General features: G+C 44.2%; 1 protein-coding gene and 1 pseudogene across 5 annotated transcripts in view, besides 1 other annotated feature; one reads left to right on the top strand and one right to left on the bottom strand.

Annotated features, from left to right (window-relative positions):
* AKAP12 (A-kinase anchoring protein 12) overlaps positions 5,556–20,234 on the bottom strand; it is a 118,593-nt gene continuing 103,914 nt past the window's right edge. For 4 of the 5 annotated variants that reach the window (NM_005100.4, XM_017011517.3, NM_144497.2 and 1 more), the window contains 2 exons: positions 10,363–15,404; positions 5,556–8,388 (listed from right to left, as the gene is read on the bottom strand). In NM_005100.4, coding sequence (NP_005091.2) covers positions 10,375–15,404 — 5,030 coding nt within the window. In that variant the 3' untranslated portion in view covers positions 5,556–8,388; positions 10,363–10,374. Of the gene's footprint in view, positions 8,389–10,362; positions 15,405–19,817; positions 19,871–20,234 lie in introns of all 5 variants that reach the window. The other variant, XM_047419579.1, reaches the window with a different exon arrangement.
* Positions 8,826–9,327: an enhancer, noted in NCBI's record as "H3K27ac hESC enhancer chr6:151675923-151676424 (GRCh37/hg19 assembly coordinates)". NCBI's record gives its function as "activates a minimal SCP1, AML or CMV promoter by ChIP-STARR-seq in primed H9 embryonic stem cells {active_cell/tissue: H9 hESC(primed)}" and the evidence as "EXISTENCE:reporter gene assay evidence [ECO:0000049][PMID:30033119]".
* On the top strand, positions 17,003–17,088 carry LOC124901550 (uncharacterized; annotated as a pseudogene).

The raw sequence follows: 20,234 nt of genomic DNA, 5'->3' as shown, positions 1-20,234 counted from the left end.
TATGATGTCATGTCATCTCTGCGTCTTTGTCTACCCAAAGAGATACAGGAAGGGGATGTGTAGTGGAGCAGTGCTTGAGAAGTCGTTTTCTCTTTTTTTTTTTTTTTTTTTTTTTTTTTGAGATGGAGTCTTGCTCTGTTGCCCAGGCTGGAGTGCAATGGCGTGATCTCCGCTCACTGCAACCTCCACCTCCCGTATTCAAGAGATTCTCCTGCCTCAGCCTCCTGAGTAGCTGGGATTACAGGCGCCTGCCACCATGCCAGGCTAATTTTTGTATTTTTTAGTAGAGACAGGGTTTCACCATGTTGGTCAGGCTGGTCTCGAACTTCTGACCTCAGGTATCCACCTGCCTCAGCCTCCCAAAGTGCTGGGATTACAGGCGTGAGCCACCGCGCCTGGCAAGGAGTCGTTTTCTTGCTGTGTCTTCTCGTCTGCAGAACTTTGGGCAATTGCTCTAACCTGAGTGGCATTTTCCATGCTTATAAAATGAAGATGTTGAAAACCGCTTTGGGTCATAAGATTGTGAGAATCAAATGAGTGAACTCTCTGAAGATGCTGTGATCATCTTGCCCCAACTTTTTATTTTATTTTATTTTTGAGACCAGCCTGGCTAACATGGTGAAACCCTATCTCTACTAAAAATACAAAAATTAGCTGGGCATGGTGGTGCACGCCGGTAATCCCAGCTACTCAGGAGGCTGAAGCACAAGAATCGCTTGAATCTGGGAGGCAGATGTTGCAATGAGCCGAGATTGTGCCACTGCACTCCAGCCTGGGTGACAGAGCAAGACTCTGTCTCAAAAATACCATCACACTGTGTAAGAAACTCTTCCTAGTGTTTTGCCGTTTCTATTTTTTTTTCTGTCTTTTTTTTTTTTAACAAATGAAAATGGACTAAAGAATTTTTTTCTCTTTCCAGTTAGATAAGAGATACCCACAAGGAAAGGTCTGAAAGCAGCCAGCCAGAGAGAGCCAAGATACTGAAACATACACAACCTGGGGAGACAGGAGTGACCGGGAAGAGACTGCAGGTTTGACCCTCTCGCAACTCCAGTCCCTCCTCCCCACTTGTCCCTCCGTCCCTCCCTCTGGAGATGTGCTAGCAGGCAACAATGCCCAAAAGGCAACAGGGAGAGGAAAGGAATGTGTATCACACACAAAGTAGACTTTAGCTTCTAAATAAGAGCATGTCTGAATACAATGTAGACTTGTGCAGTTTTTGTTTGTTTGTTTGTTTGTTTGTTTTGAGACAGAGTTTCGCTCTTGTTGCCCAGGCTGGAGTGCAAAGGTCCGATCTCGGCTCACTGCGACCTCCGCCTCCCGGGTTCAAGCGATTCTCCTGCCTCAGCTTCCCGAGGAGCTGGGATTACAGGCGTGCGTCATCACGCCCGGCTAATTTTGTATTTTTAGTAGAGATGGGGTTTCTCCATGTTGGTCAAGCTGGTCTCAAACTCCTGACCTCAGGTGATCCACCCACCTTGGCCTCCCAAAGTGCTGGGATTACAGACGTGAGCCACCGCGCCCGGCCGTCTTGCGCCATTTTAGGGAAGATCAGTCCCATTATTCTGAATCTACCAAAATATTCAGGGAGACAGTAGCAGTCATCAGCAGTCACTAAGTTGCTTCTGGAGGAAAGTTTTATCAAAATCTGTCTTTCTCTTGCAGTTACCGATATTAATGCTTTACGGTACATTTGCTTCCTCGTTTATAAAGCACTTTCACAATGGGAAAATCTTGTGAAGAACAGTCTTTAGTTACACATTCTGAAATGAGGAATGGCTGAGACAGGGCAGGTGAACTCTTTCTCAGTCACCAAGCTGAAGTTTGCACATGAGCTATTAAGAAGCGATGCAAGCATCTTGTAGATTGTCTTCTATGTGTTTCTAAGGACACAGAGGAGGCAAAAGAGTTGTCTCTCTGTCCCGAATTGTTTGTGAGACCCATATACTGAGCTGCCAACTCCACTGACTCTTGGATATCTCTTAGGTTTCTCAAATTGCCTCCACGCTCATGTCAGTATGTGCCTCCACATCCAGGTTGGCAATCTAGAAACTTCATTCTTCACCCCACAGTTCCCACAGAAGATAATCAGGTACCGTGCCCTGTCGATCTGCCTCCTAACAGCTCTTGATCTCACCCACGGATCTCCAGCCAAACTGCACCTACTTTAATATAGGCCATTATCAGTTCTTGTCTGGATTATTCTCTTTTTTTAAACTTTTATTAATTGTATTTTTTATTTTTTTTTAAGAGACAGGAGTCTCCCTGTGTTGGTTAGGCTGATCTTGAACTCCTAGGCTCAAGCGATCCTCCCACCTCAGCCTCCTACCTGGGACTACAGCTGCATCCCACCACACCCAGCTTGCCTGGATTATTCTAACAGCATGTAAACTGACCTCCTCTCAACCTCCAGGCCTCAATTCTCTGCAAGATAGATGCCACTGACATTTTAGGTAGAAACATCTGTCTTATGCAGGGTTTTTCTGTGCCATGCAGGATGTCAAACATCTGTGGCCGTAACTCATTACATACCGTAACATCCTAGCCGTTGTGGTAACCAGACACGTGGCAGCACAAACCAGGGTGGAGAGTGGGACCTTTCACTAGCCCAACACTGCGGATCACTACGGTAAGAGGATTGCATCTTTTCCCTGCCAAACTATTTCAATGACTTTGTAGGATAAATCTCATATCTTGAAATGGCCCCCTGGCCATCTCTGCAGTATTATTTCTATAGTCTTTAAGAAGGACCCTAGTTATGTTTAGATTTCAGATTCTAGAGGCAATTCCATCTACTTTTCCAAGAATTAGGTAAGCCCCTGAGGGTCACAGGGATAAGTAGAATCAAGCACAATGTGGTTTTAAAATTAGCCTTATTTAGAGTATTGCCTCTTTGTTCATTAATTATACCTAGTTATTTGAGATTATTAAAACAAATAAAAAAACACAGGGTTAAGACTAAGCACTGGGCTTTAGTACTCAATATTCTTTTGTGGGCACATTAGACTTAGGTCCTCATTTCATCATTTAGGTATTGTTATTCTACCTCTGGTCTCTAAACATAGGTGTTATACTCAGTGAAGCCTCTCTTGAAGGTTACATGTTAAACTACCCTTCTCCTGTTAAAACTTTTAATGTCGACAGGTGATAGAAGAAGAATATGCACAGTTGCAAGAAGACCTCACTCATAACTGTAGAATACTACAGTAAAGATGTCTCACACCTGTAATCCCAACACTTTGGGAGCCTAAGGCAGGAGGATGGCTAGAGTCCAGGAGTTGGAGACCACTAGCCTAAGCAACATAGGGAGACCCCGTCTTTACAAAATATAAAAAATTATCTGGGCATGGTGGGGCACACCTGTGGGTGTTGTAGAGGCTGAGGTGGGAGGATTGCTTGAGCCAAGGAGGTTGAGGCTGCAGTGAGCCACGATTGCATGACTGCACTCCAGCCTGGGTGATAGAGTGAGACCCTTTCTCAAATAAATAAATCATGATGATTTTCACCACCATGCTATCTTCAGATCCTGGTTAGCTTAGCCCAACCTGTGTTATCACTTCAAAGTCTCAGCTTTCTCATATTAAAAGAAGGGCTCAGCTTGTTTTCCTAATTCCAATTATATAGGTTGGAGACAATAAGCAATCTGTTAGGAGAAGCTCGCATTTGTATCAAAGTTATACCAGGTTGTCTGTGACCAGCAGATCCATTTCCAGAATCTCATTAGAAATGAATAGTCGGCCAGGCACGGTGGCTCACGCCTGTAATCCCAGCACTCTGGGAGGCCAAGGCGGGTGGATCACAAGGTCAGGAGATCAAGATCATCCTGGCTAACACGGTGAAACCCCGTCTCTACTAAAAATAAAAAAATTAGCCAGGCATGGTGGCAGGCGCCTGTAGTCCCAGCTACTCGGGAGGCTGAGGCAGGAGAATGGCATGAACCCGGTAGGCGGAGGTTGCAGTGAGCCGAGATCGCACCACTGCACTCCAGCCTGGGTGACAGAGTAAGACTCCGTCTTGAAAAAAAAAAAAAAAGAAATGAATAGTCATGGCCGGGCACAGTGGCTCATGCCTCTAATTCCAGCACTTTGGGAGGCTGTGGCGGGTGATCAGTTGATGCCAGTTCAAGACTAGCTTGGCTAACATGGAAAAACTCCGTCTCTACTAAAAATGCAAAAATTAGCTGGGCATAGTGGTGGGCACCTACAGTCCCAGCTACTCAGGAGGCTGAGGCATGAGAATTGCTTGAACCTGGGAGGCGGAGGTTGCAGTGAGCCTCAATTGCACTACTGCACTCTAGCCTGGGTGATGGAGTGAGACTCTGTCTCAAAAAAAAAAGAGAAAAAGAAAAAGAAAAAAATGGTCATGTTGTTTAACTGAAGTCACAAGTCTCTGATTCCAGAGAGCGTCCTGCCCCATGCCCCATGCCCGGAAGGAAGGAATGCGTGCTCAGAGAGACCAAGAAGAATCTAGACAGACAGGCCTTGCTGTGTTTCCCCACTCAGTCTGTTAGCATTAGATCATATCCCTTTTGTCCAGTCATATTTCTCCACGTCCATACTTTGTTGAACCTATATTAAAATGGACAATTTCCCCTGCATTTTTGGGTCTTCATTCTGAAGGCTCCCAGGTACACATTAATAAAATTTGTATGACTTTCATTTAAAAAAGAATAGGGCCAGGTGTGGTGGCGCATGCCTGTTATCTGAGCACTCTGGGAGGCTGAGGTGGGTGGATTGCTTGAGTCCAGGATTTTGAGACCAGCCCAAGCAACATACCAAAACCCCATCTCTATTAAACATGGATGTATATAATTCTCTATTCTTGACTAGGATTTCAAAACAAAAAAAAATAGAATACACTTTGGGGGGCCGAGACAGAATTGTTTTAGCCCAGGAGTTTGAGACCAGCCTGGGCAACATGGCAAGACCCCATCTCATGGTGGCACATGCCTGTAGTCCCAGCTACTCAGGAGATGGGAGGATCCCTTGAGTCCAGGGGTTCAAGGTTACACTGAGCTCTGATGGCATCACTGCCTTCCGGCCTGTGTGACAGAGCCAGACCCCATCTCTACAAAATATGAAATCAAAATACAAATAAATGTTTAAAAGAAATAGTCATGTAGATTTGAATTTATGTGACACTGATTTTGTGTTCCGGTTCCGAGCTCTGCTACTATCTGGGAATCCTTGGACTGCGTCCATTTCCTTTCTTACAGGGTTGGAGAAAGAGGTTCTAACTCTGGTTCTGGTTATTGGTTGGCATTTCAGAGAAGGTTTGTGTGACTATCCAAAAACTGTACATAAAACTTTATATTGGGGAGTCCGAGGTCAGCTAGAAGCTTAATGAGATTCTAATTAAAGGAGCCCAGGACCCAAAAAGGTTATGATCATGAATAGAGATCTTTGTGGACTCACGCCTATCCTAGATACATTCATTCCAAACTCTCATGATGCTCTATGAACAAAGGGTGCTAAGTAGTTAAAAGCAGAGCTTAAATGTATGACGAATATCACAACAGACAAGAGAAAAGCAATGGAAACTGAATCACAGTGAAATTACAGAAAGAAAATCCATGGCATTTAATTAGATTGCATTTTATTTAGATAAATGAAAATTTGCCCCAAACAGAACTAGGAATCAAATATTGTCTTCGACTAGAGGTAATTGCTAAGCTGGAAGCTTATATTGAAAACTAAAATTTCCAGCCCTTGACTATCTGTAGTTCCAAACATCAAAGGAAAATATTGGAACAATTTATCTATGTACAGAGAGAGGCAACTCATGGGTACCATAAGCAAAATAACCTGAGGGGGAACATTTGATATTACAAGAAGTGGTGAGAGTTTACAAGTCTTGCATTGCTTTCTATTGTACATGGCTCTGTAGTAATGCCAAAAATAACAAAATGTAGGCACTTGCTCTGACTTCTGCAGTTTACATTAGATTATTATGTACTTCATAAATTAACAGCAGCTTTAGAATTATAAAACAGTATTATATTTCATGCTACTGTTGGTGTTCTTCTTGTTAAAATAATGTTCTCAACGGACATAGATACAGAGCTTGTACAGAAGTAACTCTGGGCACATCCAGATAGTACAAAAAGCAGTCATAAAGCAGCTACTCATGGAATCGCAACTGTGATGGCCAGCGAGCACCTGGCCACAGGTGGTAGGAAAAGACAAACGCGGGTGGAATTTAAACAAAAACGTCAATTTCCCACAAACTACACAAATCTTTAATCTGTTCAAAACAGCACAGAATGTCTTCCTGCCATAGAGAGGAAGTCAATATGAACTTGTTATAAATTGCTGTCATTTCCAAAACTCTTTAGTTGATGTTCAGAACTAGAAACCAGCACTTGGATTTCAATCTCAGTTGGCCAAAAAAAAAAAAAAAAAAAAATTATATATATATATCAGAGGTTTTTTGAATTTGGGGATTTTAATAATGATGCATGGGTAGCTATTATATATATTTGAGAATAACTCCTAAAAGATGACTTCCAACTACAAACAAGACTATATATACACTGCTATCATGAGGTGTTTTACTAATATGGCCAATTATGTATGAAGTTAGATTTGTTAGCAAAAAGAAACTACTTTCAGTTTTAAAAGCAAACTTTCTTTCCATTAAAACTAGGCTTTCCAGCTAATCAGCAGTCAAAATTTAAATTTTCAAACTGGAGTACCAAGTTTGAGTAAAATCTGGAAAGCTATATGCCAGGCCAGTTCTGTGTGTCAAGAGTAGATAAGTGACACTATTCTTCGTGTGACAATTGTCTGACAAAACCCTTAATGTAGGCTGAGGCAGGAGAATCGCTGGAATCCGGGAGGTGGAGGTTGCGGTGAGCTGAGATCGTGCCATTGCACTCCAGCCTGGGCAACAAGAGCGAAACTCTGTCTCAAAAACAAACAAACAAACAAACAAAAAAACAAACCCTCAATGTATTAGCATGACTCATCATTTTGACATTTAAAAAATTTTCCAAGATTATTTCAGGAAAGGCATTTTTACTATTAATTAAGCTTTCTTAAAATTTCTTTCTAGAGACATTTGTTATTGTTTGAAACCAAAAATATTAACACAAAAAAATTGACATTTTCAGGAATTACCAGATGGTACAATTGTAGCAAGAACGTCAATCTGAAAAGCTACTGGTTTATTTCAGGAAAGCTATCTCGGCCATGGCTTCCTCTGAACACACAAACCAGTGACAAGGGGTTTCATGTAATGACTACATCAGAAAGTTCTAGCTTATCAATCATTATCTTTAGAATTCTAATGTGGTACACATATGTCCCAGGCTTCCTGGTATCTAATAAAACCAGCAAATCTAAGTGAAGCAAATATTTTATTTAAATCAGTCGTCAAATCACAACTTATCCAAATGAATGTGTTGCAACATTGTTCTTAAAAGAATGGCACAAATATGGCACAAACACAATCCAGTATCTATCAAAATACCATTTGTAAAGAACCTGACTTATTTCATGCCATGTGTGAATGCAGTCCAGCATATAAGAGTAGAATCAAAAACTTACAACAATTCTTTTCTTCATAACATATAAAACATATTCACTACTTTGCCTCAGGATTAAGCACACTTATCGGTCCAAACAACCATAACAAGTAGGAAAAAGGATGTAAAGTTAATTTGCTACCAGAATATAACTTCTTTCTAACCTCCACTGGGTTAGAAAGAAAAATTTCCCAATGACAATAGAACATTCTGTATGTTTCAAAATGCTTTTTAGTTTTAGCACACTCCGTGTAATAGGAAAGTGACCAATTTCAGAGTACCACTAAATATGGACCTCAATCATTAGTGAATTTTAAAGAATTGTACCTTGATCAGGAATGTTACATCTAGGAGGCTCTGTTTTTCGTGGGTTATATAACTGAGGCTTAAAGCTCCCCAAGCCTGCACTATGGCACATGCCCCATCATATACTGTGTGATACAAAAAGCATGTAGTATCCTGCACATTTCCTTAAACATTAAGAAAAAAATATACAATAGATACAGGAGGACTACTTAAAACATACATATAAATATGTAAAGAATGATACTCCAGTTTCAGAAGCAGAACTAGGTATTGCCAACTCCAGTTCCAGGTTAAGAATTTAGGACCTTAAATCAGAATTTATATGGTTATCAAGGGAAAATTGTAGGTTGGTCTTGGAAAGAGGAAATGTTAAATGGCTCTAGCTCCTGATGAAGCCTCAGGATTGTCAGGGGCTCTCTAGAAATGAGATCAGTTGATGTGCCTGCTCTCCAATTCTCAAAGTTCTGAAATACTGGTCTTCAGTCTCAGCAGCAGCATTCATTTTCTTCTACTACTTGTCTTCACATTCTGGTCTTCCAAACAGACAATGAGTTTAACTGTAGGAGGAGGAAGAATCAGCGTAAATAAAATCTCCTTTTTCTCTCTCATTTATTAACAACAGGATAGTTGTCAAAGTGACCTAATAATACCATAGTTTAACTCCATTAAAAAAACAAAGATGGGGCCGGGCGCGGTGCCTCATGCCTGTAATCCCAGCACTTTGTGAAGCTGAGGAGGGCAGATCATGAGGTAAAGAGATCGAGACCATCCTGGCCAACATGTTGAAACCCTGTCTCCACTAAAAATACAAAAATAAGCTGGGCATGGTGGCATGCACCTATAGTCCCTGCTATTCGGGAGGCTGAGGCAGGAGAATCGCTTGAACCCAGGAGGTGGAGGTTGCAGTAAGCTGAGATTGTGCCACTGCACTCCAGCCTGGCGACAGAGCGAGATTCTGTCTCAAAAACAAACAAACAAACAAAAAACAAAGATAGGGCTGGGTGCGGTGGCTCATGCCTGTAATCCCAGCACTTTAGGAGGCCGAGGCGGGCAGATCACTTGAGGTCAGGAGTTCAAGACCATCCTGGGGGAAACTCCGTCTCTACTAAAAATACAAAACTAAGCTGGGCATGGTGGTGTGTTATCTGTAATCCCAGCTACTCAGGAGGCTGAGGCAGGAGGATCGCTTGAACCTGGGAGACTGAGGTTGCAGTGAGCTGAGATTGCGCCACTGCACTCCAGTCGGGGTGACAGAGTGAGACTCTGTCTCAAAAACAAAACAAAACAAAAGAAAACGAAGATGGGTTGAGCACAGTGGCTCACGACTGTAATCCTAGCACTTTGGGAGGGTGAGGCAGGAGGATTTCTTGAGGCCAGGAGTTTGAGACCAGCCTGGGCAACATAGCAAGACCCCTGTCTGCAAAAAAATTTAACAATTAGCTCGGAGTAATGACATGTGCCTGTGGTCCCAGCAGCTATTCAGGAGACAGAGGCAGAGGCAGGCGATTTGCTTTAGCCCAGGAAGTCAAGGTTGCAGCAATCCATGATTGCACCACGGCATTCCAGCCTGGGTGACACAGCAAGGCTCTCTCAAAAAACAAAACAAAGATAGGGCTGGGCGTGGTGGCTCACACCTGTAATCCCAGCACTTTGGGAGGCCAAGGCGGGCGGATCACGAGGTCAGGAGATCGAGACCTCCTGGCTAACACGGTGAAAACCCATCTCTACTAAAAATACAAAAAATTAGCTGGGTATGGTGGCGGGCACCTGTAGTCCCAGCTACTCGGGAGGCTGAGGCAGGAGAATGGCGTGAACCTGGGAGGCGGAGCTTGCAGTGAGCCGAGATCGCGCCACTGCATTCCAGCCTGGATGACAGAGCGAGACTCCGTCTCAAGAAAACAAAACAAAACAAAACAAAAACCACAAAGATGGGGAGTTACTAGCAACTGCAAGTAACTAACACAGTGAGGGTCGGTCATTATATGCGCTGGAAAATTTTTAAAAATACTTGTTACTACTGCTAGGGGAAAAAAAATCCATTTTTTCTGAAAGAGCTATCATCAGCTATATTTCAGGCAGTTTAATATTAGCCCATTTGGGGGCACTAGTTTTTTTTGTTTGTTTTTTTTTTTTGAGACGGAGTCGTGAGGCACCACGCCCAGCCATTGGAGCACTAGTTATTTTTAAAAAAACTCAACAAGATAGTTGAGTGAACACAATGTATTTCTTATGCCTTTGGGTCAAACACGCACATGTGCACACACACATGCCGTTTTATTTTATTCTAAAGCAGTCACATTAGGAGGTAAAACGAAGTCGTTCTTTTCATAACATCGATAAGACTAAATGGCATTTCAATCACCAAAAACCATGAAACTATCCTAGATCTTTGAATCTAGTTGATAGTTATTTTCCTCAACTGAAGGTTCTACACGAAGGCATTAATTATTTGCTCCCGATTCCTTATGTAACAAATTTGCCATCTATTGGCATAAAAGAGAAAAATTATCTTAGAAGACAAGGAAGCTTACCTGCATGATGTTTTAAGATTCTGTAAGTTCTGACTTTGCAGATTCTCTCTCTTGTTTCTGTAACTCCTCCTGTGCTTGGGGTGTGATCGCTTTATCTGATTCACTGTGCACTTTTCCTTCCTGCAATTCTACTTCCTGGGCATCCTCCTTCTCTTTTTGTTTTGGTCCATTTGTATCTGGGGACTCTTTGGTTAAGCCTCCTGAGGCATCAGTATCAGCCAGGGCTGAGTTCTGGTTTTCAGGGTCATCAACATCATCACCTTTTTCATCTTCTTTCGGTTCAACTAGTGACTTCTCTATTCTTTCTGCTAACAAGGCATGACCATCATCTTCTGGCACAGACTTTGTTCCAGCTCCACCTCCCTCTTCCTCAGATGGGAGGACGACCTCTTCCAGCTGCTGATCATTTACAGTGGAACCTTCTACCTCAACAGTCATGGTCTTTTCTGAGGCTTCACTCATGTCTTTGGAAATATCAGAATGTGCTTGTCCCACTGCGGTTGACTCTGACTCCTCTTTGGCTGAAGTAATTGGTGTTTCATCCTGTGCAGAGGCCTGAGGTTCCTCTCCTTCTTTCTCCGTTTCCTGTCCAGCGTCCTGGCTGTCAGCTTTTATCACGTGAGCTTGTGTCTGTAACTCAGACGTCAACATTTCGGTGGCTGTTTCTTCTGTACGTACAAACTGGTCAACGGCTGTCTGGATGATGTTTTGGACAAGTTTACTGCTTTTGGTCTCAAGTTCCAAAATCCCATTTTCAGGCTCTAAATCCTCAATTGCTACACTCACTTTGACCTCCTGGCAAGCAACCTGCTCATCGACTTCATCTGACTTCCACTTCAGTGATGTGGTTTTCTCTCCTTCCAGGTCGGAACTTAAGCCTTTCTTGGTAGTAGCAGATACTATCACTGGTGTCGATTTTGCCTGACAGTCGGGCCCTGTGGGCACAGCATCTTCCCCTGGATGAGCGGCAAAGTCTTCATTTTTTTCAGAGGATTTCTCTTCCAGAACTAAATGTGCACCTGCAGGCTCCAACGTTTCACCTGTTTCTAAAATGTTGGCAGTTTCTCCTAAGACCTTTTCCTCCTCTGCAGCCGCTGTTAGAGTGAATGATGCCTCAGAGCTCTGAACTTGAATTTTGGTGCATACTGCCTCCTCTTGACCTAGGCAGGGAGGAGGGCTTCCTTCCAAACTGCTGACTTCCTTTGCCCCATCTATGATGGGCACATTCACTGTCTGGAGGAGCTGCTTACTGACCTCTTCAGATACGGTAACAGCTGTTTCGTGCTCAAGCTTCTCTTCATTCACATGGGTTGGCTCTGCTTCTGTTTTCTCCCTTTCGACTTGAACTACCATCTCTCTCTCCACGGGGGATGGAGGAGACTTAGCGTGACTCTGCAGTTCAAGAGCATCATCCTTTTTACATTCAGCTTCTTCTGTCCCTTCACCTTTAAGGGCAACTTCAGTGACCTTTTCCCGACTGACTGTTATGCCTGTGTCTATAGACCCCTCAAGTCCTTCGAAAAATGGTACGTCTTTGGTTTTCTCATCAGCATACTGGTCAGCCTCTTGAGTCCCCTCAGTCTTTGACAGAATGGATACAGTTTCCACTGACACCTCTTTATCTGTATGCTCTAGAGTGTCTTCCATCTTTGATTGTTCTTTAGTTTCTTCCTGGAACACAAAACTGGAAGGTGCTGGAGGCCTCTCTTTCTGTGCAGGAACTGCCTCTGCTTCTGTGCCCCCTGACTGGGTACCAGATGCGACCTCATTCTCCTCATGGATTTCCACAATCTCGTCTTTCTGGGTTGTGCCTGGTGCGTCAAAGTCGGCTACGGGGGTGCTTCCATCAGTCTCACTGTCTGTAGGGGTTTCCACCGAGTCAGGGGGGATAGCCTGTTCCATCACCATCTCCTGTGATTTTACCCCAGCTAAGGTTTCGGCTTGACAAGTGGTTACAAGCTCACTGGACTCTATGCTCTCTGTGACTTGAGGAGCTTTTTCAAAGCTTTCTGGGGTGGTCTGCCCCACCACCTTCCCTTGTGTAAAAGGCTCAGTTTTTGCCTCCTGAGCATCTACTTTCAACACTACATCCGTCTCTTTCTTCAGACCCGACGCTTCAGCCTGCTCTTCTGGTCTTTCTGCCTCTGCTCTCTGCACAGGCTGAAGCACATCTTCTGGCCCACCGGTGCCAGGCAGCTGGGATTCCTCTTTCACTTTTTCTGCCACTGCCTGGAGGACCTCTTGAGTCCGCCTCTCTTGCTCTTCTATGTCAGGTACGCCACCTTCCACCTCCTGCACCGGAGTGGCCTCCTCTGTGGTGTCTGGGGAGTCGGTTAACTGGGAGACTGCTGACACCATTTCTGTGGTCTCTTCAGCAGCAGATGCTTCGGTTCCTTCTTCGGCACCCAATGGCCCTGCAGTTTCTGCAGCTGTCACAGCTTCGGGGGTCAATTCCGCCTCACTAACGACCGTGTCGCCCCGGGCCTCTCTGTTCTCTGGCAGAGGTTCAGTAACCGTGGGGGGTTCTTCTTCTGCAATTACTTCTCTTTCCAATACCTCCTCAGTTAACAGTGCGGCTTCAGCTTCTACTTGTTCAAGAGGTTCTGTCACTGAAGCAGATATCCAAGAAGGAGACCTTTCTTCAATAATGGTAGCTGCCCTCGTCCCGTCAGCGACAGCTGCTGCCATCATATGAACCTGACTCTCGCTGAGCTCCTTGGACACCTCAGTGGCTGCCTTCTGCTCGGGCTGCTCTGCGCTTTTTTGGGCTTGCTGTGCCTCCATTTTCTCCCTTTCTACAGCATCATACTCAGACAGAGGGACCACGGCCGGGACATCAGAGTCATCTTCGTTGGCCCCTGTTGGCCCTGCGTCTTCAACAGGGGCTTGTTCTTGTTTCCCATCTGGCCTTTTCTTCCTTCGTCCAGGAATAAACTTCTTGATTGAGACCCAGGATTCTTCTTTACCGGGTTCAGTGTCTGGAGTGGAATGTTCTACACCAGACCCAGCTATGGAGTCTTCGCTTTTCTCTTCCAGCTTGGACTTTGATTTTTTTCTTGGCGTGACTAACCTTTTAAATGACTCCCAGGTGGAAACGCCCTCCCCTTCGGTAGGGCTTCCAGCTTGCTCCGGGGAGGAACTTCCCTGCCCTGGATCATGTTCTTGGGAACCAGCAAGGATCCCGTCTGTCCCCGTCTCTTTGTCTTTTCCGGCCTCATCAGCTTTCTGGTGGTCTCCTCCCATTGCTTTTGGTCCCCCTTCCTCATCAGAAGAGGACCCTCTCCTTGCTCTTTTCTTGGATGATCCCACACAAATTAAAGCTTCCCAAGATACTGAGGTATCCACCTTGCGCTTTGGTTCTTCCGGCTTTGGCTCTTCCACGCTCCCTTTCATTTCTTCTTGCATTTCAGAGGCTGTGCTCTCGGTGGAAGACAAGGTAGCGCTCTTGACCTTGTCCAGCTCATCTTCTTTATCACTTTCCGAAGGCCGTCTAACACGCTTCTTGGGCGTCACCATCTTTTTGAATGATGCCCAGGGAGTGACACCTTCTCTTTTTTTCTCTCCATCGGAAGTAGCTCCTTCTTCAGCTTCCCCATCCTGCTGCACCTCGGCTAAGCCCTTTTCCAGACACGTGATCTCCTCGGGCTCCTCAGGGGATGAGGCAGAGCTCTCGCCCTTTTGCTCCTCCTGGCTGTCCGGAGAATCGGCTGGAACCTGAGTGTGCTCCCCTGATTCCTCGTCTCCTCCTCCTCTTTTCCCTTTCTGTTTCTTTCCAGAAAGCTTTTTTAAGCCAGTGCTGGTAAAAAGCTTCTTTAGTGGACTTCCCTGCACCTTCATTCTCTCCTGTGATGACAGCATTTCCACCTCACTCACAACGCCTTCGGGGGGTTTGGACAGCACCTTCTCATCAGGACTGAGGTCAGCTCCCTGTGTAGGGTCCTCTCCGGAAACACACGTTTCTTTGAGCTTCACCAGCTCCTTGGCAGGTTCAGCTTCCTGAGGTTCTGCATCCATTTCAACCAATTCTTCAGCTGGCACAGACCCTGCTGTTTCTTCCACCTCCGTTTTCTGCTCTTCGGTTCTCTCCTCCACGGTGCTGACGTGGACTTCGGCCACAACCTCTTCTTGGTGGACTTCTATTTTCTCATCAAACACTTCTGTCGCCAACGGAGCAGGTTTCTCTTCAGAAGGTCCCTGCGAGCCACTGACTTGCTCCTCTGAGGGCAGCTCAACTTTCTCATATTCAGCTGATAACCGGGGCTCGTGGGCACTTTCTGCCGGCTCCTGTGGGTGGGCTTGCTCGGAGGCGGTCAGTTTCTCGGAGGCAACCTCTGCCTTTCCGTCTTCTTCTGTGTCTACTTTTTCTGGCTCTTGTTCCTTTTTCTTCTCTGAAGCTTCCACTTCATCCTCCTTCGGCTTCCTGAAACTGGTCTTTTTGCGCCAGCCGGCCCAACCTTGAGTGAAGAATTTTTTGAAGGTTGATCCTGTTTCACTGGTCACGGGACTAGTCGGAGATTCTGCAGACTTGCTAGGTTCTTTTTCTTGTTTCTCTTCTCCTTCCTCTTTGCATTCCTCCACTGCTTGGCCAGATTCGGCTGGGGGAGAAATTTCTGCGTGGCTTTGCTCACGCTTCAGGGTCTCTTCGGGTTTCTCTGTAGATTGTTTGGGTTCGCTTTCTTTGGATGCTGCTTCTCCAGCCCCAAGGCTGGGGTCCTTGTGGTCGCCAGCCCCTGCTGCTCCCTCCCCTTCATCTTTCTTCACAGTGAGTAGCTGGACAGTGTCAGGCTTCTCTGTCTTATCCTTTTTCACAGTGAATTTAAAGCCAACAAACTTAAACACCTTCTTAAATCCAATATCATTAGCCTGGGACTCAGTGGGTTGTGTTAGCTCTTCTAAATTGCTTTCTGAAGAAGGAATCTGTTCGATTATTTCGGGTGTCTCCTCCTGCCCATCATCTGTGATGTCGTGAACAACCGCTGACTTAGTAGCCATCTCTTTATCGGAGTCTCTTTTGCTCACATCTTCAGAGTCTCTCTGTCCAACTATTAACAAAAAGGGGCGGGGGGGTGGGGAGAAGAGAAAAGGTGATTACAATACAAGAAAATTGTTTTTCTCCGACAGGGCCTCACTCTCTTGCCCCGGCTGGAGGGCAGTGGTGTGGTCTCGGCTCACTGCAGCCTCAACCTCCCAGGCTCAAGGAATCCTCCCACCTCAGCATCCCGAGTAGCTGGGACTACAGGCACATGCCACCATGTCCAGCTAAGTTTTTTATTTTCTGTAGAGATGAGATCTCACTATGTTGTCCAGGCTGCTCTCCAACTGCTGGGCTCAAGTGACCCTCCTGTCTCAGCTTCTCAAAGCAGTGGGATTACAAGTGTGAGCTATAGTGCCTAGCCCAAGAAAATTAACTTTTTTTTTTTTTTTTTTTGAGACAGAGTCTCACTCTGTCGCCCAGGCTGGAGCACAGTGGCACGATCTCGGTTCACTGCAACCTCTGTCCTAGGTTCAAGTGATTCTCCCACCTCAGCCTCCTGATTAGCTGGGATTACAGGCGTCTGTCACCATGCCCAGCTAATTTGTTTTTTTTGTTTGTTTTTTTTGAGATGGAGTCTCACTCTGTCACCCAGGCTGGAGTGCAGAGGCACGATCGTGGCTCACTGCAAGCTCCGCCTCCTGGGTTCACGCCATTCTCCTGTCTCAGCCTCCCGAGTAGGGAGGCTAATTTTTTTTTTTTTGTATTTTTAGTATAGAGACGGGGTTTCACCGTGTTAGCCAGAATGGTCTCGATCTTCTGACCTCGTGATCCACCCACCTCTGCCTCCCAAAGTGCTGGGATTACAGGCGTGAGCCAACACGCCCAGTCAATTTTTGTATTTTTAGTATGGGAGGGGTTTCACCATGCTGGCCAGGCTGGTCTTGAGCTCCTGACCTCTAGTGATCCACCCACCTCGGCCTCCCAAAGTGCTGGGATTACAGGCGTGAGCCACTGCACCCAGTGAAAATTAAATATTTTAAAAATATGACCAATTAATACTTTCTTTAATGCGAGGCAATTCAAGGATAAAGTGAGATCTTACAGAGATTTGCAAATCTTAATAGATTAATGTCTACTTCTTTCCAATGACCTTCAAAAATTCAGGTTCAAAGAGAATTATCTGCTCTTTCTGTTGCTTGTTAAAGGGAAAGTTGACAAACTTAACTATCAAAAAATTAGTTCCACATAAGTAGTCACGGCACCTCTAAGAGTGAGTCAACGAGGTAGTGCATCTTCTGTTGCAATGTAAGATGGAATCCCACATCACACCCATATTTTAAACAAGAATCCATCAAGTTTTAGATGTAACTTCCCACTTAACAGGAAATATAGGGTTTGAGGAACAAGCTAAAGAACAAACAAGTATCTACACAAATCTAAAGAAGGGGACATTCTATGTGGTAACTAAGTCCGACCTCAACAGGTCCCCAAAAGGGACCAGAGCTCTTTGGAGAAATTCCAGGCTGGGTCAGAGGACGTATGAAGAATATTTTGTTGTAACAGAAAGGAGATGCTCAAAAGCTGATGGAGGTGTCAAAAGGACACAAGAACTGGCTTGAAGGGGCTCCCAATGCCCAAACTTTGAAGCATAGAAAAGAATAATGGATCCTTTGTATTTTATGAGAGTGACGATTGGGTGTTCATGTGCAATGTGTGCATTGTCACCACGATGGCACATTACTCGTCTGATGTGAAAAAGAAAAAGAAAGAGAATGATGACATTGATGGGTTACAACACATTGAATAAAAAAAGAATCCATGAATCGAGAGTGATACTAAAAAAGGTAAATGAGGAGAAGGGAGCGCTTCTTTAAGGAAAAAAGAAATGTCAATAAATATAGATATAACTTCCACTTTGATCCTCAAAGTCATTATTGTTAGAATTTTAGATTTAGAAAATCACAATTTACAGACACCATTGTAATAACTCATTCAGTCAAGTATCATAAACTGCTAAAACCATCGGGTAAAAGGCTGTCAGGAAACGTACATTCAGAATACCAACATACACATTACTTAATTTCAAAAAAATGACCTTGGCAATGGAGAAATCTGACAGGCACCACCTTAACCAAGTGATCACATTTAACATCCTCAATAATGGGACAGATGCCATCGCGCTTCCTGGTGTGAAGCACTGAGAAGGACAAGAATTCATCTACGTGGCATTCCTGACCAAAAGGTTTAATGGTATCTAATCACAACGACACAACCAGACAAATCCACAGCGAAGGGCATTCTGCAAAACAACTAGCCTGGCCTGAAATGTCAATGTCACAGAAGGATGAAAATCCAGCAGAAACACAAAAGGATTGTCTGCAAGTAACTTCCAAATAGCTTAGTGGGTGGTGGGGCGGATGATGTGGCTTTCCATAAATGGCGAATAGGTCAAGTGTATATAAGTGTTTACTATATTTTTCCGGGTTTGTAATTTTAAAATCACTGAGGGGAAAAGTCAAGTCAATGTGATTTAATGGGGGGAAGTAGGAGGGAGATGTATTGTGTTAAATTAAGAGATTTAAGGAACACAACAACCAGAGGTACCTGGCATGATCCTGAATTGGATATTTGTTAGGGAAAAACAGCAAAAGGACATTTTTGGGTCTTCTTGGAAAATACTGAGTATGAGATTTGGGATTAGATGAGATGAATTTTAATTGACATAAAAGGGTAGAGATTTGACTGCAAAAAGCAGGTTACCAAACAGTATATACAATGACCTCATTCTGGCTTAAAAACAACTGTCTCTCCTTTCTCTCTCTCTCTCTCTCTCTCTCTCTCTCTCACACACACACACACACACACACACACACACACACACATATACACACACATCCTTCACATATGATCTCTGGGGGATGCGAATGTCATTTATTTTAGTTTTGCTTGTCTGAATTTTCTTTTTTCTTTTCTTTTTTTTTTTTTTAAGACAGAGTCTCACTCTGTCACCCAGGCTGCAGTGATGTGATCTGGGCTCACTGCAACCTCCACCTCCCGGGTTCAAGCGATTCTCCTGCCTCAGCCTCCCGAGTAGCTGGGACTAGTGGCATGTGTCACCACACCTGGCTGATGTTTGTATTTTTAGTAGAGATGGGGTTTCACCATGTTGGCCAGGCTGGTCTCGAGAACTCCTGGCCTCAGGTGATCCGCCCACCTCAGCCTCCCAAAGTGCTGGGATTACAGGTGTGAGCCACTGCCCCCAGCCTCTAATTTTCTATATAGGACATATATCGATTTTTGTACTAAACAGGTCAATTAAAATGGACACCAAAAAGATCTTAACAAAACCTGAAAAAATATACTTAATGTTTTAAGCACAAATTGAAGGTTAATAATTATAACTAGCCAGGCGCGGTGGCTCACGCCTGTAATCCCAGCACTCTGGGAGGCTGAGGCGGGCGGATCACAAGGTCAGGAGATCGAGACCATCCTGGCTAACACGGTGAAACCCCGTCTCTACTAAAAATACAAAAAATTAGCCAGGCGTGGTGGCAGGCGCCTGTAATCCCAGCTACTCAGGAGACTGAGGAAGGAGAATGGTGTGAAGCCGGGAGGTGGAGGTTGCAGTGAGCTGAGATCGCACCACTGCACTCCAGCCTGGGTGACACAGCAAGACTCTGTCCCCCCCAAAAAAAAAATTATAACTAGTACATACAACAAGACTTAGAACACAGCAATAAATACTTGAAATGCAGAAATATTTAGAAATATAGAATGCTTCCCCAAATCCATACATTCCTTCCAATTATATAATCTTATTACTCTGAAAACAATTTAATTTTCTTATTTATGAAATATTACAAATCTATGTCTACAAATTGCCATCATACTACTTATTTGGTTTTATTTTGAAACTGAACCCCAGAAAGTTAAATAAAAAACTAGGCTGGGCGAGGTGGCTCATCCCTGTAATGCCAGCACTTTGGGAGGTCCAGGCAGGTGGATCATTTAAGGTCAGGAGTTTGAGAGCAGGCTGGCCAACATGGTGAAACCCCGTCTCTACTAAAAATACAAAAACCAGCCAGGCGTAGTGGCGGGTGCCTGTAGCCCTAGCTACTCGGGAGGCTGAGGCAGGAGAATCTCTTGAACATGGGAGGCAGAGGTTGCAGTGAGCCAAGATCATGCCATTGCACTCCAGCCTGGGTGACCGAGCGAGACTGACTCAAAAAACAAATGAACAGACAACAACAACAACAACAAAACTGCCTGAGGTACCCAACCAAGTCAGGGCAAGAGTGTGACCTAGAGTTTTTTTTTGTCCTTGTACCTTGTTATTCTCTAAGTTATGCTAAAGTTCTTTTTTTCTTTTCAAATATTGCTAGATTTTTTGGATATTCATAGATGAATAGGTTATCTGGGCCTCTTATTCTTCAGAGACTCAATAAGGGCCTTTGCTTCAGTGGTGATGCCATAGACTCACCATCTGTAACAGCTTCGATAATCAGCAAGGCTCATTTTTTCTGCCATCAGTATCTAAGATAGCATTTAAAACAAAACATTTTAGTTTTACCTCTGAGAACTAAACATTTCAGATAGCGAAGAAGATTTCAAGAAAAACCCAAGAATCTCATTATTTTGATCTGAGGCGCATTCCTAAAGGATTTCCCTTTTCTCTTTATAAAATACACATTTGTGACCAACATTAGACTTAACAAACAATAAGGAAAAATTAAACACTCATATTAAACTTTGAAGCAAATATTCAAAGAGAAAGTCCAGACATCGACGATTTAAACTACTTCTACATTTTAGATATATACACTCTTCCCATTATTTTTTAAAGCATGTATAGTATTCTGAAATAAGAAAATGCTTTAAGTTTCTATTTGTTCCTATT

This window comes from Homo sapiens, chromosome 6 (assembly GCF_000001405.40).
Source record: "Homo sapiens chromosome 6, GRCh38.p14 Primary Assembly".
Classification (NCBI taxonomy): domain Eukaryota; kingdom Metazoa; phylum Chordata; class Mammalia; order Primates; family Hominidae; genus Homo; species Homo sapiens.
This window is presented reverse-complemented; position numbering and strand designations above follow the sequence as displayed.